This window comes from Homo sapiens, chromosome 7, assembly GCF_000001405.40.
Source record: "Homo sapiens chromosome 7, GRCh38.p14 Primary Assembly".
NCBI classification, from domain to species: domain Eukaryota; kingdom Metazoa; phylum Chordata; class Mammalia; order Primates; family Hominidae; genus Homo; species Homo sapiens.
In genome coordinates, this window is record NC_000007.14 from 85,122,679 (window position 1) to 85,142,417 (window position 19,739).

The following is a 19,739-nucleotide window of genomic DNA, read 5'->3' on the forward strand; positions in this document are numbered from 1 at the left end:
TTACACTTAAATGTGAGAAACTAACTTTAATTAGGTCAGGGCCCCAGTATAGGTGTTAGGCCTGGAACAATGCAATGTTACCTGAAACCTGTATTATTCCACACAGGGAAGTAATGAATAGAAAAACAAATTCCAAAATATAAGGGTTTATAAGAGGGAGGAGGTGGTAATTAACTGGGTTGCCATAAAATAGGCTAACTTGGTTGTTTTCTGTAAGATGTAGAGTCAATCAAAACACGTATTCCAAACTAAGCCTGGTAACAAAAATTACAAATCATATTATCGAGCATTTATATGTTCCCAATACTTTTTTAAAAGTGCTTTACATAGATTAAATGATTTAATTTAAAAACAGCCATTAAGGGTGGGTAATTATTTATCTCACTTCACCGATGAAACAAAATTGAGGTACAGAGTTAAATAGTTCTTCCAGGGGTACACGGCAAGTAAGAGATGGATCAAATCAACACATCATCAGGACTTTAGCTAGAGTCTGCTTTCTTCACACCTAAGTCTTCCAGTGCTTTGCATTATGGTAGAATCTAGTGATCTTCAGCTCCTGCCAGAGTCTTCAACTTCTCTTCCATGTTAATTAACTTACTGCTGTTACTAGGAAATAGGCCACAGGACCAATAATTTATTTGATGATAGATTTATTGGTGATAGCTTTGATCATAATAAAAAAAGCATTAGACTTTAAGTAATTTTGTAATTAGTTAACATTCAAAATAAATATTTTATGCCTATATTGTTTAGTTTTAAGAGAAGGCCTAATAAGGGTTGAATTTTTCTTAAGTGAGATCAGCTCTTCAGTGTATTAAAATGTCTCCCAGACTTTGAATATCAAGATTTCAGTTACCTTAAATCTCAGTAGTTAAGTCAAGTCTTGGGAAGTAAAATAAAATCAAATTTTGATGTGTATTATGTTTATACATGATAAACATTTAAGGATAGACTTCAAATTTTATGCTGCATTTCTTCATGAAATGTTAAACATGAGTGCTTAATAAGTTGTTTCATCAATCATTACATTTCATTACATTCAAAGATACCTATAAGGAATACTAAATTATTCTTTGTATATAATCTGTCAACATTTAATTCTTCTTTTAGAAGGTTACTACATATGCATATAAGTTGGTTTAGATTCTCTTTCAATCATGTTGTATTAAATATAACAAATATTGCATATTTTATTTACATTTAATTGACATTTCCTGAACGTTTCACCTAAATTAAATAAAATTTGAGAGACAACAGGAATGTCTTTCTGACCAAAACCTACACCATCAGCAGCCCTTTATGAAAATTTTAGTTTTAAAAACTTCAATTATGCTAATTTTAATATATAACACTAATAAAGCCTTTTTTAAAAAATAACCTAAAGTCCTAAAAATTATATTATTTAACTGCCAGTAGGAACACATTAATGCCATTGCCACAAAACAGTCACTTTAACTGATCTACAGAAAAAAATTTATCAGATTAGATTTGAATATATGAGTTTTGAATCATTCAATCTCAATGCATTCTTGCAACTTGTTAGTTTTAAAAGTTAGTTTCAACTTGTTAGTTAGAATACCAGTATTCTTTGACTTACAGATTCTCCTTAAAAACTTGCTGCTTTTATACAAATTCCAATACAAGTTTTAAATATGTATATATTTATATGTTAATAAAGATATATTTATATAACTTGTGATGGTATTTGAATATATCTAACATATATTCACTTATATATATTCTTATCAGCCATTGGCATCATATCTAATCGCTGACCATTTATAAGGTGAGGAAATGAATAAGATTATTTTTCTGAAGGGAATGGTTGATTATACACAATAAAGTACCATAAAATAAATTTAAAATGGAGACATTTATGATACGCTATGCAAGATAACTCAAAGGAGTATCATATAGGCTTAAACAAGACAAGTATACTTTCATGGAGGACAGAGAAAAGAGACTGGAAAAGCAAACAGAGACAGTTCCAGAAAACAGTGAAACCTTGTTAAGGACTCCTGAACAGCAAGGCAGGTTGCATGATAGACTTGGTTATATGGCTATGAGAGGGAAGAGAATGTGGCATAATTCAGTGGCATAGAACAGAAGGACACCAAAGAGAATCTTGGGCTAACTCTTAAATTTGGCTCTGCGTATTCTGGTACCTAATACATTAGGACTCAAAACAATGCATATGGTCACTTCGTACTGCCTTTTGGTATTGATCAAGTGTGCTGTTCCACCCACATTCATCAGTGCTTCTCCAATCGCATTATCCTGTTCCTTCCATTATTTCTTGTATTCACATTATTAGCAAAGCGCTGATATCTGATTGCAGCAGACTCACAGCTGTGGCATACAAACATGTATTCTCCCTCCTACCCATACCCTCTAAAAAAAGTGAAAGGTAAAATGAATGCAGAGACTGAGTATATTGAATTTCTCATTACACTTTTTTTTTGAGCTTCTGGACATGTGAAATACCTTTTTATGACATGTAACAATGCATGTAACGTGAATGTATGTTTATATACATAGGCAAAAAAGAGGGAACTTTCCATATGTGCATTTTATTAGCAATAATGACCTCAGTGCAGGACATTTCCTGGGAATTAATGACTAGTTGGGGTTAATGGCCCTTGGCTATGCATTGAGATACCTACTCCTCCAACTGGTCATTAATCGCTAAGACATGCCCTGTGCCTCTAACATCGTAAGTTAAGAAGATTGATGTTTTGGTTTTCACTGAACAGTAGTAACACTGTTCCTTGTAACCAAACTCATTAATATTGTTAAATAAGTTAAAAATCAAAGCCCTGCTTTCCTTACTACTAAGACATTCTGAGAAGTGCCCACGTGTGCTGAACCTGTACTTGGAGGAACAAAATAAAGTAAAAATGGTGAAACTGCTGGAACTTAAAAGCCTTTATATATTTTTCTACTATAAAACAGTCAAGACCTACAATCTACTGGTCCTGATTCTTTGTTTTTCTTCCCAACAATCCTATAAATTCAATAGTTAATCCTTTAATTGAGATAATTTATGGGTTAAACGTCTTGCCAACAACCTCCTTCCTACTCTATTGATATTTTGCTGTCTTCGTGTGTGTGTGTGTGTGTGTGTTGTGTGCACATGTGTGTGTGTTGTGCATCTGGGATGAATTATGGAGAGAAGTAGGTGTGATTTAACCAAAAGTGGGTGGATTTAGTGAAATGCATAGGTTATACTGCATGCTACTGTCTGTAACAAGCTTGACCTGGAGCCAATTAACTGCATATAATCTATTCCAGATGCTCCCTGATAGAAACAGCACTCTTGGGAATCTTCAGATGTGGAGCCAATAGGGAGTTTTCTGATTATGAGAGACTTTTACACACTGTTCCACTAAATCAGAGATCCAAATGCATAATCTAACCTCAAGAAGGCCTTGTGCCATTTCCCTAAGGAACACAAAGAGTCCAGAACTTACTAGATGGATGGTAAAATTTATTTGAGGAGCAAGAAATATGAAATTTTACATGTGAACTTCATTGATTTGCTTTATTTATTCATATGCATTGGTTCCAAAAGTCATTAAGCCAGGATCAGGTACTATTAATGTGAAAAAGTAGCTTCTATGCACGGAACAATGATTAAAATATGTAAGTCTTCTTGCATGAAAATCTAGAACACTTAGATTTAGGATTCTTTCTCGTGTGTGTGTGTGTGTGTGTGTGTGTGTCGTGTGTGTGTGTGTGTGTGTGTGTGTGTGTGTGTAGGTTGGGGAAGGGAAGGAAAGAACCCCTGATTTTTTAATTTTATAAAGAGCTCTTTGTTCTTTATACCTTAGTGGTACATATAAGGTCACTTGAGAATGTTTTTTACCCAATTCAGAAAGCACAAGGAAATATGCCTATCTCAGCATTAAAAGCAATATCTGTATTAACTCACTTTTGCCAAATTGCTGCTCCTATTTTGAGCTATTGTTTGATTAGATGGTTTTCCTGTAGGGTGCACATGACTGATCAATTATTGGTAACATTACTTCCTGGCATGGCTGTGGACAGCACAACAAAGAGGGATTATAGAAAAAAACTCGAAAGCCAAAGGGGTAACATAGGCAAACACAGAGAAGCTTTATGTTACAGGGGGCTATTATTTATTCCATTGATCAAGTGCAATAATATCAAAGTAGGATTCAAGTGGTATGTGAAAAGGTCCACAGGAAAAGAGCTTGGAATGCTAGAACTTTCACATAAATTTATCCTATCCTTTCTAAGTTTCCTTCTGTGTATTTTCTAATAGGCATATAAAATATCCTACTACTTTAGTAAGATAGCAAGTATTTGTTGAAAGACTAATTGTCCATTGTCTTCAGATGCCATGAATTCTCCATCAAATGATATATTCTAAAGGAGTCTGGAAGGCCATCTGACTCCTCAGAGATCATGAAGAGTCTTATATTTGATTAAATGCTAATCTACTTCCAAACCTCTTTATGATGGCCAATGATATTTCTCCACACACCAAACAAATTACGATTATCATCAGAAATTAGTTGTAGAGCTGAGCTAAGCTATTTGTCAGTAAATATAAATTACAGTACCTACATTTTTATTTTGTAGCGGTTTAAACATTATGTTTGCATTGCTAAAATACACTGAGAGTATATAGTTTATAATCCCTGTTCAACAAAGCAACACTGTTAACATTTTACTTGGGTTTGCATGCCTTATAGCCATGTACTAAGAGCCAAATAAAATTCTGTAAGATCTTACCTCTAATGAATTCAACAGAAAATAATACAATTGTGAGATTTTAGAATATATGTGTGTAATCTCTTAGGTTTAAGCCTTGTGGGTTTCATTTTTTCCTGACCATAACAGTAACAACAAAATAATTTTTAAATTGTAAAGAGGTCCCAAAGAAACAAAGTGCCTCCAAGGTCTAAACTGTTGAAGTTAACACATTTATAAAAATTTAATAAAATATTACTGTGAATGACTTTATTGATATTCATTTTCCTCATCCTAAATCTCAAATCAATTTGCTCTTCAAAGCAGCAATTGATACTTATCAATTTGAAGGGTCAGAGAAAGTACTAACATCATCAGAGTTGACCTTTCTTCAAATCAGATTAATCGACAGCCCAAAGTTTCAATATTTTCCTTTTCAAATTCTTATACCCTCGGGAGCATTTTAACTCATACAACTTTTCATGACCCAGATAATCTTATAATATGCTTTTGGATAATTGTAGAACATTTTGTCAACTTTTAATGTCTGCACTCAAAACATAAATCGGTTGTTTTTTAAACTCAAAAGCATCAACCTCAAATATTCTGATATGTGCCTCTTAGGTATATCTGCTTTTTTTTTTATGAAGAGACTTGAATAAAGCAGAGTAGGAATTATTGAAAATATGAAAGGAAAATTATTATATTTTCTTGGAATAATGAACTAAGAATTAACTATGTTTTTATTTATTTTATTTTATTTTATTATTTTATTTTATTTTATTTTTGAGGCAGAGTCTCACTCTGTCAACCAGACAGGAGTGCAGTGGAGCAATATCTGCTCACTGCAAGTTCCACATCTCTGGTTCAAGTGATTCTCCTGCCTCAGCCTCCTGAGTAGCTGGGATTACAGGCGCACGCCACCATGCCTGGCTAAATTTTTTGTATTTTTTAGTAGAGATGGGGTTTCACCATGTTGATCAGGCTGGTCTCAAGTTCCTGACCTCGTGATCCACCTGCCTCAGGCTCCCAAAGTGTTGGGATTACAGGCATCAGCCACTGCACTGGGCCAACTATGTTTTTATTATTGAGATATGCTTATTTCTAATTTAGTCAAGCCCTTTTATTTTTTAGAAATGTCATTTTTATCAAAACTAAGCAATATTTTGGCAAATATCCAAAAATTTTAATTTATTCCTTTCTGAAATTCACATTCAGTTATTCATTCAGCTGTTGAATTATATGTCCATTTAATATTTCCCCAGAATTTATAATCTATATCTAATATTATAAATATTCTGCCTATGTGAATAAATGGATTTGAATTGTAAAAAATTGATTATTCATAATAAAATGTACAGAATATTCTATTTTATAACCAAGTTAGTGGCTCCATGGTCTCTGTATCAGCATAAATAATTGGGTAGTTGGAAACTTGTTTTTCAAAGCAATACAGATATTTTTATGATATATATATATTTTTTTCCTTTTTTTTTTTTTTTTTTTTAGAGATAGATAGGGTCTCACTCTGTAACTGAAGCTAGAGTGCAGTGGCATGACCACAGCTCATGGCAGCCTGGACTTCCTGGGCTCAAGTGATCCACCTGCCTTGGCTTCCTGAGGAGCTGGGATTATAGGCATGTGCCACTTGCCCAGCTAATTTTTTTTTGTAGAGATAGGGTCTCACTATTTTGACCAGGCTGGTCTGCTCTTGAACTCCTGGCCTCAAGTGATCATCCTGCTTCAACCTCCCAAAGTATTGGGATTACAGGCGTGAGCCACTGTGCCTCACCTACTTTATTATATTTTAAAATATTATCATGGTGTTTCTTTCAGCAGCACTTATTCTAAGGTAAGATCAATGCAAAGATGCATGAAGAGAAGAGCACAACACCTACATAGGAACGACAGATAAATTTGTAAAACAGAATTTCTTTTTATTTATTGACATGTGTGGTAGTCATGTTTTTCACAATCTTCATATGTATATTTTAATTTTCTAATTAAAAATATTTACTGAAAAAAATTAGTTATGTCAAAGGAGGAAAAATTGAAATTTTTTTGTTATTTAATACATATCTTATCAGACTGTGAGATGAGGATTTCATCTTATCATCAAAACAACATACAGAAGTTATAGTTGCCAACATGTAAAAATATGTAAGCCTGCTTATACACAACCACTTATGTATAGGAAATAGCATTTCAATAAATTCCTACACTAAGACTAAATGATAACATGGGGTTATACCTACTTAGTTTAGAATTTTAAGGTTGTAACTACTGGAAAGCAGTAAATAATTATGAAATAATTAAATTACGTTTTTGGATGTATGCTGTAGGACAATATAAGGATTCTTCATAAAAATCCTAACCTTTTATATAAACGGATAAAGAAATGCCATCAAATCTACCATCAATGCCCATATTTAACAGCAAACATTTAATCTAAAAAAACTGCACGTAGCAGGAAAACTATGACCTTGAGTTTCATATTCACATAAATTCTCCAGGAACACATGTACTGTTAAGATCAAAACACTTATAATGAGTTAAATGAATCCTATATAGCCTAATTTTATTTTTTTAAAAAAGATGTGCTAAATTTATTAACACTATTTGTTTCTTTCTTCACTATTTAATGAAACACCTTAGGGAAGTAAACACCCTAGGGAAATAGGATAAAAAATTTAAATAATTTTCATAAGCATAACGCTATCTGGGAACACAAATAGGCAGATGTGAAAGGAACTTAGCATCACATGTGGAATTTAGGAACCAAGTCTTCATATCGGATTTGAATTTCATGGTATTTGACCAAACTCAGCAACTATCAATAACTAACATTTTAAATTCAACAATTGATGATGACTTATGCAATCAAAAAGGGCAGCTTTTCTTTCAACAAATGAAAGAATTGTCCAGCACTCTTAGCAGTAATAGTTATTTAGTGAACATTTTTTATATTTCTAATGATAATGACATATGTTCATGCATTCCATCTTGTTTTAACATGCTTCAAATGCAACTGTTCCAACCCACTTGTATTTCTAATTGTGTCACTATAAGGTAAACATTATAGAATAAGTTTGCACATGCTCATTGTTGGGGCCTTCTGGCCCAGAAACGAGCTGGATGTCTGGAAAATCGTTATCCCTAGGAGAAATCTGAATTTTGCTATAAATAATTTACCAGCTTCTACCAGAAATTCAAAAGTTCTCGAATCCCTGACTCAGTAAATATTCCTATGTTCGGTTTAACTCTGCTATTGAGAAAGTTAAAAATAGCTTAAAACAAATATATAAGTTTTATAAATAAATTGATATCATAAGTTCCATTATTTGTACCTTATATGACTGCCTTGTCATACAAGGTAAAAGAAGTTTCTTTTAGCTACACCTCCACATATCCCAGGTCATATCTTCCGTAACTCTTCTGGGACATGTCAAAACACACTAGCACAGTGGTTAAGCGCACAGGCAAAAAGCCAAGGTCTGTCACTTGCTTTCTGTTTGTCCATGGGCCAGTTACTTAACCATACTGTGGCTCATGTTTCTCACCTGAAATTGTGGATAACAAGGGTATCTGATTCCTTCGTTGTAAGGACTAAGAAACCATGATGTAAAGCACCGCACCCTGCCCAGTACACAGTAAGTGATCCATGAGTGTTAGTCATTTAAAAATCATTATATTCAATTTGTCTTAATTTTCTATTAAAACTCGATTTAAGAACAAGAGAAAATTATGGTTTTAAAGACAATTCATGATTATCTGAAAGTACAAGTACAGTTTGTAAGGCCTGTAAAGCAGAGTTTTCAGGAAAATACTATATAACATCCAAGAGTATGAAAGCAAATGAAGAAAATAATTTTAATTCTTTGAGATCATAAACACAAAGAAACAAGCAAGCAAATAAATTCCATTTGTATAGTTTAAACGGGGAGAATGAAAGTGATGGTTTGAATCTGATTATGAAGGATATAACATAATTGTATTTGGAGCACCTCTAATGCTACTCATTTAAATTAAATCACATAATTTATCAAGAAAGAGAAAATAACTAAATACCCGATCAACAATAACCTCATATAAAACTTTAAAATCAAAGTAGAATAAACATTGGTGAATATGTGTAGTACTTGACTTTTAAGATTTTTACTTGGATTAAAAAGATTCAAAGAAGTGTGCTTCCTTTAATGCCTTCTCCAGAAAGGATACTAGTTTCTAAAGGGGAAAACAAATTTTAAAAATCTTGTGGATCTTGTGAAATACGAAGATATAGTACATTCAATGGTATTTTCAAAGTATAACAATAATGTATGTCTGCAATTCAATATATCCTTTGTATTGAATCTTAACAGGTGGTAATTTAAAAAAAATTTATGCATCTATGAGACTTAATTCAGTGTTCTAGTCTCCATTCCCACACCTAGTATTTAGTTTTACAACTAGTATAGTATGGTTTAAAGGTGTAAAGTTTTTTAACAAACTCTTTATTAATGTTTTCTGTTTTCAGCTTTCTTTAAAATTTATTCTTCCTAAATATGATGCCACTTAGGAACCTCACATAATTTATATTTTAGTAGTTGCTGACCATTTTTGAACATATGTCTGAAATTATTTTAGATAGTTAATTAAAATAATTTTTACATGAAAAAGAATCATGTTTAAAAACAGCTATATTTGTTTATGATCAATTTTTGAAACTATTTTTACTTACATTAAAATTGTCATGTTTTTACCAAGTATATTTAGACATCCATACCAGCTTATAAAACATAGTTTTGATCAAATTTCATTTATAATACCCTGTGATTATATATCAAACATAGCAAAACTTTCATAAATAGCAAGAAAACAAAAATTATTTTATTGACTATGGAAACTCGTAAAACAGTGAAGCAATGTCTCCTAACTTAAAACATGGCAAAATTGGATATCATATTGAGATTGAATTAGGTTTTGGTAGGTTAAACATAAAAAAATACTTTTAATAACATTTTAAACCATTTCAGATCTTGAACATGCCAGTATTATTTGTAACAGTTTTCAAAATTACTATATTTGTAGCATACCAAGAGTTGAAGTTGTCTCTGCCACAGATTCAAAGAGCTAGTATGTATCTTAGAACATCTTAATATTTCTGGTGGTTCTAACATGGACTATTAAAAGAACATATTAAAAAATACATATTTGCATAAGGATGAAATGTTTCTCTAGCATGAACATTACTGTCCTCAAATCAAAATTAATAAAATTAAAAATTAATGTCAATGTATTATATAATTCCAAATAACATAATAAAATGTAGAAATATCATCTTATAATTAATACAAGTTTTATACTATCTTTATATATGCCTTCACATGAATTTATTATATTTTAAAGTATGACCTCATAACACTGTTTTAGAAACATTATTTGATGTACTGGACATGCAATATAGAAGCATAATATGGATCTTATTAAAGAGCTTCTATCATTAATGCTGAATTCATCTCTTTTACATTCTCTTAATACGTATAAGGGAGTAGTTCCTGGACTAATATATTCGTGTTCAGAAAGTAACTTGCAGTTCCCCAGTGCATACGCAATATGTATAGAATGAGTTGGGGTATTGTCTTGTGACAGTGAGACTAATAAAGTGCCAGAAATTTCAGCTTCTTTATCAGGCAGCCACATATTTATAAAAAAAACCTCTCTGGTCTTCCTATGTAGATATGTTTTCTTTCTTTCTTCTTTTTGCATGACTGTTCTGTTGAAGTCATGTGTTGAATATTTGTGCTATCTAATTTCCCCTCCACCCTTATCGCCCTCCTTATCTAGTTCTCTATCAACATAGTAGTATCAGTTTCTGAGCTGTGTTTAGTCTCATCCTTATATCCTCAGCTACATCTTAAAAACTGGACTTACATGAATATTAAAAAGTGCCTCAGTCAGGATAAGCAGGGGATTCCTGGGTTGAGCATACATACAGCTGCCGATGGATATTTCTCCATTTTTATTTTTTACATCTTTCCCTCTTGGAGAAAATATAATACCTCTTACTACATGATCTCAGAAGTTGACTTGAAAGCTAGCACGATGTTCTAAAACTAGCGCAACGTTCTGAATTTTTAAATACAGAGTTCAATTCAGATAGTCTCTCAAAATCCTCAATAATTAAACTTATTTGTTTTTACCATGTGTTATAGCAACTGAGATAAAATTCTTGAATTTTCCAGGGATTGCTCAGCCTACTGGTTAAAAGTTCAGTCTCTGGCTATAAGATGGTTTGGTTGTAATTTCTATTTTGTTACTTATCAACTTTATCCTCTGAAAGAATTCACTTAATTTCTTTAAGTCCAGTTTCTGCATCTACGAAATAGGATTATCAGTTCTTATCAAATATGATTGTTGTGAGAATAAAATGAAATAATGCATGGAAAGCACTTAGTATCTTCTCTGGCACATAGCTAGCTCTAACAAATGTTAGCTTAATGGTCTTCCATTTTTACATGGACTATGATAGCAAGTATTTTCTAAAGATAGTAAGTAAATATGAAACTTAAAAGGAAGTCTGGAAACTCCCATATTCTCCTATCATATTTACAAATGTGTTTGTATAATTTGGCATTAAAATTCTCAACTCCCATTCCACAGTGTACATGTTTTTCAATGCACAATTAGATAAGGTCCCTATTGCAGTATTAACAATACATTATTTTCCTCCGAACTTCTAATTCATTGAGCCTCTATGCACTGCCAAACTGAAATCCTAATAAAAAGAACATACTTAATTGCTTTATTGGATGTGGAAATTGTTAGACTATACAAAATAAAAGGCAGAATGAAAAATATTTTTTTAGAATTTTCAACTAGAGACTACTAAATATGTTTGAAGAAAAGTCTATGAGGGAGGTCTTGGAGCTGATATAAATGCTTAGAAATGGTTTTGACAGAAAGCCAACCTAAAGTTATTTTTGAAGGCTTATTTGGATATTGTAATAACCAAAAATGTTTATGCATATCAAGAAATTTAGTTTTAATTACAACTTCTGTACTTTTTTAGAGTATTCAAAACATGAGTTGTTATAGCATAATAAAAATAACAGTTTAAAATATATTTCCAAGTGATAAGTAGATCATTCCCTAAATCTTGCAAGATTTTCATTTGTACCTTCCAGAACAAGCATAATCTCCAACTACCGAAACATGTACTTTTACTTCTTTTGAACCACATGAATTCGGGATATCTATTACATTTACCACGGTATCCCCAAAGCTTAACACAGTCTCTGGTATGGAGTCAGATGTGAGTATTTATTTATTAAATAAATGAAAGAAGAACTCAGTCTCATCTTTGCTTCACCAGCCCACTTCTTTGACATATGATGGAGAAGCTTTTCAAATCTCTTTACAGTATCATTGTGTATAATATCATAAAAACTCAAAAACTTTGTGTCTCCCCAAGTGTCCAAGGAACATATGGGAATGTGGGGACTAAACTAGAAAGAACTATAGATGTTATAAAGATTCATACCCTCCAAAACGGGAGGAATAACTGAGTGATTCAGGGACATTCTTTGTAATTCTGGGTATCTTTTTGCAAGTTTTTAGAACCACATTTTTTTTTTCTAACATCACTTGAGAATATCCTAGAAAACCCCTGTGTGTAGAGAAGGGCCACGAGATAATGGTGAGAATTTGAACTTTGGAGTCAGACAGGCTTGATTATGAATTCCAGTTTTACCATTTCCAGGATAAGATTTTCTTTGAAATTTAGCAGGTAACGGCAACTTTGCTATGTTTTTGCATTTGAATTAATGTACTTTAAAATCTGTATCTACATAGTACTTGCAAAATAAACAATGGCTATTATGACAATTATTTCTTTCTTTTTGATACAATTATTTCTTATTATAGACTAGGAGAGTTCCTTTCCCTCAACTGGTTATGGTTTGCACATGAATCATGTTGGTAGTTATAATTCAGAAGTGAGCAAATGCTCATTTAACTGTCGCAAGAACAAAAAACCAAACACGGCATGTTCTCACTCATAGGTGGGAACTGAACAATGAGAACACTTGAACACAGGAAGGGGAACATAACACACCGGGGCCTGTCGTGAGGTGGGGGTAGAGGGGGAGGGAAAGCATTAGGGGAGATAGCTAATGTAAATGATGAGTTAATGGGTGCAGCACACCAACATGGCACATGTATACATATGTAACAAACCTGCACATTGTGCACATGTACCCTAGAACTTTAAGTATAATAAAATAAATAAATAAATAAATAAATAAACATTAAAAAAGAAAAAATTAGAAAAAATTAATTAGAAAAAAATCAATTTGCAAAGTTTTGTCAAGTTTCTCCCTCTTCCTATCCCTGTTGGCTCAGTAAAAAAAAAAAAAAAATTATAATAAGAAAATGATATTTCAATGGGATTATTTACTATCACGTTTCTACTTCTCCTTCTCTCTTCCTGTGAATTGTTGAGTTGTATCCAGAAGACAAAGCATAAAATTAAGTAGAATTTAAAGACATATTTGAGAACTATCCATTAAGCATTTATCCTGTCTATACAATTCCCACATTTATAGAAAATTCACAGCACAGACCTTTTCCTAAATAAATGCAAACCCAGATTAAAAAGAGGATGAGAGAGCAATGTCTAATTGGTAAAATATGCAAGCTACTCAGAGGAAAAATGTAGAGATGTAGAGATTATTGCTATCTTGGGTAAGAAAGAATGTAGAGTTCAATTGTAATAGTGCATGCGTGTGTCCTTTGGAATGCCAATGAAGAGCAACGAATTCTTGATTATAAAACAATGAGAAAAAGATATCTTTCTATCCTTGGCACTTCAATAAATCAGTTTTTCAGACAATGCTTCAGCAAAATTCTTGTACTGCATTATCCTCATAAAATCAAGATTTCTCCTTTAAAAAGTTGACTTCTGTACTATTTTACTTAATCATTCAACAAGGGCTGCCAACTTCCAGGGATTATCATAAGCATCAGCATTAAGTATACACAGAACTTTGATTTTCCAAATATTGCATTTGATTTATTTAAAGCAAGCTTATATCATCTATCTATTGATCAATCAATGTAGCGCAATATGGTAAAGTAACATATTAAAAAACATTTTTATAATCTGTAAATGGTATTTCAAGATTATTTTAGTTTAAAACAATTGAATTATACAATTGTCTACAATATGTTTTTATTTAAAATATTAAAGGAAAGTAAAATCATTATGCATTGAAAGGCATATTATGCTTTCTCTTGCTAAAAAATATAATGTGTATCAACTGGGAAAATACATTTTTATTTTTTACTATTTACAGATTTTTATTATCATTTAACTTGAACAATTCAATTCTGATGTTTTATATAAGTGTCAGATTTTCCAGTTACTCTTTGATAAAGAATGCAAAGGGAACATGAACAGGGATCCACCATGCTTTAGCGGAAAGTGCTCTGAGTTAAGGGTCTAAAGACATGACTGTAGTCCTGGACATCTTATTTTCAGGAATTCAATTAGCCACTCAGGGTCAGGGTTTTTTAATGTAAATTTAGTATGTTGATATGTCATCAATATAACAGGAATGTGACTTATGTAGTTTTAGCCAAGCAAAGTGTCTATGAATATTTTTTAAATGATTAACAACATACATAGACTTTTTTCTTTAAAAAGAGATTAACCTTTTTGACTTAATTCAGTTTTACTTTTTCAGGGATCAATGTTATTAAATCTTATTTACAGCAGAGTCAGATATGAGAAACTCTGATTTCAGATATTATAATTTATTTTTATCAAATAGAGAAGTAACATGTATTACATATGGTATATATGATATACATAAAAGGCATATATGATGTGTATATATGTGATGTATATATATGACATAGATATGACATATATAGTATATACATAGGGTATATACAGGATATGATATATAAGACATATATATGGTACATACATAGGGGTGTGTGTGTGTATATATATAAATCTCATATATACTCACACACATAACACAGACACTACAGGGATATGGCAAGGGAATATCTGCTCTTTATCAAAGTTGTCATCAGTATTAATGATACCTTTAATAATGTACACGCTATTTTTTACCTACGATTAATTTTTCTACTCCATTTTCATGCCACTAATGTAGCACCGAGTTCCTCTGATTGAATGCCTGGGTTGCTACAATTGGTATTCTGGACTTGACCCATAGACTTCAATCCTGGAAATGGATAATTTGTTTTCTGTGCTTGTTTTCTTCAAATGTTTGCTTTCATAATGCCATCTCTAATTTGAAATATAAACTCCCTAGGTTGGTATCCAAATCCCTTCTTTAACTACACAAATTACTTTCCTTATTCCTCAATGTGCACTCCCTGTTCCAGGCAAAATAGTCAATGAACACATCCCATCTAAATTATATTCATTTCCTTCTTCCTCTGTGTGATGTTCTGCTGTCCTGATCCAACCTTATCCAAAAAACATTTCTGGGTAAGTTCGAGGTCAACACACTCACACACTTTCTACCAGGGTAACTACAGCAGATTTTTCTCAACTACATCGACTTACAGTCAAATTTTCTTGCATATGGCCTGAATTTTACATGCCTCTTACCTCTCCAAAAAATTTGGAAAGATGCTTAGGCACAGAAAATGTATACTCTCTTAAATCTACTTCAGATAGCCCATAGAAGCTGAATGGGCTCAAAGTAAAAGCATAATAAATGTTTAGTAGACAGATAAGAAGTCAAACAATTATACAGAGGAAACATAATAGTTATCTGCTGTTCTGACTCATTAAACAATTAATTAATTTTAGGAATAAAATGTTCTGTAAATTTTATAAGAGCAATAACTGATATTCTTTTTTAATTCATAATTTTATTGTTATTTTTTGAGACAGTCTCACTCTATCACCCTGGCTGGAGTACAGTGGCACGATCTCTGCTCACTGCAACCTCTGCCTCCCCGGTTCAAGGGATTCTCACGTCTCAGCCTCTAGAGCAGCTGGGATTACAGGTGTGCACCACCATGCCTGGCTAATTTTTGTGTACTTTAAGCTTTTTTTCTTATTTTTTTGTTTTGCTTTTTGATTATATAAAACATTTACATAACTCAAATATCATAATTATATTACATGTGTATTAACATGAATACCTTTCACCCCTTTCTTTCCATTTTGTGCCTCCCTTTTATAATATATAATTTATAATATATAAATTAAATTATATATATTTAATTTAATATATATATTAAATTAAATATATATAATTTAAGTTCTAGGATACTTGTGCAGAATGTGCAGGTGGGTTACATAGGTATACACGTGCCATGGTGGTTTGCTGTACCATCAACCCGTCATCTACATTAGGTATTTCTCCTAATGCTATCCCTCCCCTGCCCCCTACCTGCTGACAGGCCCCGATGTGTGATATTCCCCCCTGTCCATATGTTCTCATTGTTCAACTCCCATTTTGGAGGTTGCTGGAAGATCAAGATTTGGTTTTGGATATGCTCTGGCTTTCTATTGGACGTTCACCTGGCAACATTGAGAAGGCAGCTGAATTAAAGTCAAAAGGTGAAGGCAGTAGTCAAAGATAAATGTATAATTTTGGCAGTCATAAGTATAAGGGTGGCATTTATGAGAGGTGAGATTGCCAAGGGAAGAAATTCAGATAGAGGAAAAAATAGGTGCAAGGACTGATCCCTGGCACACTCCATTATTCAAAGGTCAGAGAGATGAGGCTGAACCAGCAACTGAGACTGGTAAAATCTACTTGTGGAGAAGGACAATGAGAAATATGTAAGACTCTGGATTCCTGTGAAATCTTCACAGGAATCAGAAATCAGAGGAAGATAAAGTGATCAGCAGAGCCACTGGGTTAAATGTTACTAATATGTCAATAAAGTAAGATCTGAGCACTGATTATTAGATTTAAACAGTACTAAAGAGTTATGCAATGTAGCAAAAATATCGTTATTCAAATAGATATATACATTTATATATACTATTTTATCTTCACAATGAAAACATCATTTTATATCAGCAAATGCTTTTAAGTTAAGATTTATAGCATCCTGAAATCCATGTAATAATATTTCTGTCTTTTTCACAAAGGGACTACAGATGAATGCTATTCTTTAAGAACAATGCTTTTGAACTTATAATGAAAATGTTTCTAAAGAAGTGAATAAATATTATTTATTATAACATTTAATCTAACCTAAGATGTCATTTTAATATACTTCATTATTTTATGTCTCACTAAGAAAACAATCTTGTCAATTTTAACTATGACATGGCATTGGTTGTAGGATGCCATTGATTTCAGAGATATTGAAGTGAGAAAAAATAACCATTTTAAAACTTATGAAATACTATTGTATTTTCTTCTTTTTGTGACTATATTAAGATGTACATTCTATTTCTCTATCAAAGAATTAGACAAATGATAAATACTGTTATTTACAGTGCTGTTGCAGAATAAACAACTATTCTCAGCACACAACAAACACACCTAATAAACACCTTTTACCTCCCTGAGTAGAGGGCAACATTGTAAACTATTATAACCACAGAAAAAGTGATCAAAACAAGTTAAATTAGATAAACTTGTTGCATGCTGTCATTAATTATTACACATGCTACTATTAATTACATTAATATATTAACAATATATTACTGCAGACTACTATTATCATATAATTTTCAAAATGTTTATATATTAGCATATTTACTAATATTAAAAAATTAAGTTTATAAGAGCATTTATTTAATGTTTTTTAACATCAATAAAAATGTTTTATTTTACTCAATATAAAATAATAATTCATTTATTAAATAAGACTTCTGCATTTTCTCTTTTCCTCAAATATGCAAAACTTTGATTGTGACAGAGTGAAAATGCACGGCATTAGAAATCATATAAGTTAAGGTCTGGTTTACATCCAGCCAGTAGATGTTGGTAAATTATTCTATTTTTGTGAATTACAGTTTTCTCATCTTTAAATGAAGGGACTAGTGATGATGGGATTTAAGGTGACTTACTGTTCTGATATGTACAGGATCACTTACATTAAAAAGAAAAATTGAGACACTGTTGATCATAGTCACTTCAAACATCAGCACAAATTTCTGTCCAACATTTTATAGCAGAGTTTTATCTATATCTATATCTATATATCTCTATATATAATAATCATATTATTTACTCCCTATAATCTATAGCCTACAACCTGCAAGACACGAACACATTATTAAGTGCTTCTGTTAAGGAGTCATTATTAAGAGATAAATCTATTTAATACAAGTTTCTTCTGGTTTCCCTGGGGATTGGCCTAATAATGAATGAATTAATGTATATTTTGCTGCTGCTTAATTATTCCATTAATAATAGACTGTGATTATTATAAAAGTAGTTTTTCACATTCTACCATTAAAAAAATGGTAGGTATACAAAAAGAAAATCAAAACACCATCTTCCTATCAACACCTCAGTTAGAGATGATCACTGTTAAAATCTTCTTTATTTTTCCCTATTTTCTATGCATATACATAAATGTATTTTACAACAATGAGATTATATCAATAATCTAGTTTATAAACTACTAATGAGTTAATTGTTTCCACTTTACTCATCACTATGTTTTCATTTTATTTAATATTCAGTTCACATTAAAAATTTCAGAGATGTTTCAAAACTGTTTTTATAGGTGATTTGTCCAATTTGACGTCTAATTCTAAGCACATTATAACTAGTTGCAGCACTATCATTTTTAATATAGCACACATATTAACCCCCTCTCTTATTTTTCATGACATTAACTTGTTGAAGAGGGACAAGTTCAAGTTATTCCTTTTAAAATGCTTTAACCTCTTCAGGAATTTTAACATTGTCAAAAACTTAATAATTTATTTCAAAACCATATGTCAACTAACTGCACAGTATGCCCTATTTCTCAGTTTTTATTGGAATCCAGAGAAAATTAATCATTGTACTATTGGGGATTCTGTGCTAATATTTAAAAAAAAGATTGGTGTCTTGATCTTTCTCCACTGGAAGAAGGACATGATGCATGTCCTCCCTAGCACAGGATCACTGCCCTACATGAATGACCACAAAGTCTTTCTAAGGATAGTCTTAACTATTACTGAAATTTAAATTACTTAAGTTCCCTTCTTTGTGATCTCTATAAATCATTTCTGGCACATATTCTTTCACCCATCAGAGCAAATCTAAATAAGAACATGTTCCTTTTGGGCTGAATAGTACCAGTTTACCTAAATTAATGTTTATTTAGTATCTAATAATGTTTTCTATTGAGAGAAACTGGGCTCTGTTTTCTCAAGGTTTTTGCCAAGTCTCATAAATCTGGGAAAAGGCGGTCAGTGTAACCCCTACTAATAACCAAAGTGGCCACACACAGAATAAACAAGGGCCCAGTTTATAAAGCCTTCACTGAAAGACCTTCTTGGAGTAAATTTAGATTTCTCAGTATTAATTTATGATGTGTGCAATGCACTTTGCACTCAAAAAAAGAGAATAGGAAAAAGAGTTAAAAAATGCATTAACCAAATCTTTAATGCATCAAGGTACTATTTAAATTTAATAGCCAGCAAAATAGAAGGTAAGAGAAAAAAAAAAACCAAGTTTCTGTGAACTATACAGAAGTTGGCAATGCATTTTAGTTTTGATGTATTAAAATTTCTAAGCAATTATTGACATATATCAACATTGCTGAAAAGGACAATTCGCTCAGTGTCTCTTACCAATTTCTAAATTACTCAATTGCTTATTTAATCAAGGTTTGAGATATCATCTCTCTACCAATATAATAAATTTTTGAACCAACAATATCTAGTAAAACACTGAGAAAGTACTTAGTTTTATCTACACCCTCAGTGTCAGCCAAAGTTAATTCCATATGAATTTTATTGCTTTAAAATCAAAATTTATTTCTCTAGACATGAAATTATAACCTTATTTAAAACTCAATAATAAAAT

General features: G+C 31.8%; 1 protein-coding gene across 5 annotated transcripts in view; it reads right to left on the bottom strand.

Moving 5' to 3' along the window:
* Positions 1 to 19,739, bottom strand: part of SEMA3D (semaphorin 3D) — a 254,691-nt gene that overhangs the window by 127,126 nt on the left and 107,826 nt on the right. The gene's annotated exons all lie outside the window — the stretch shown is intronic.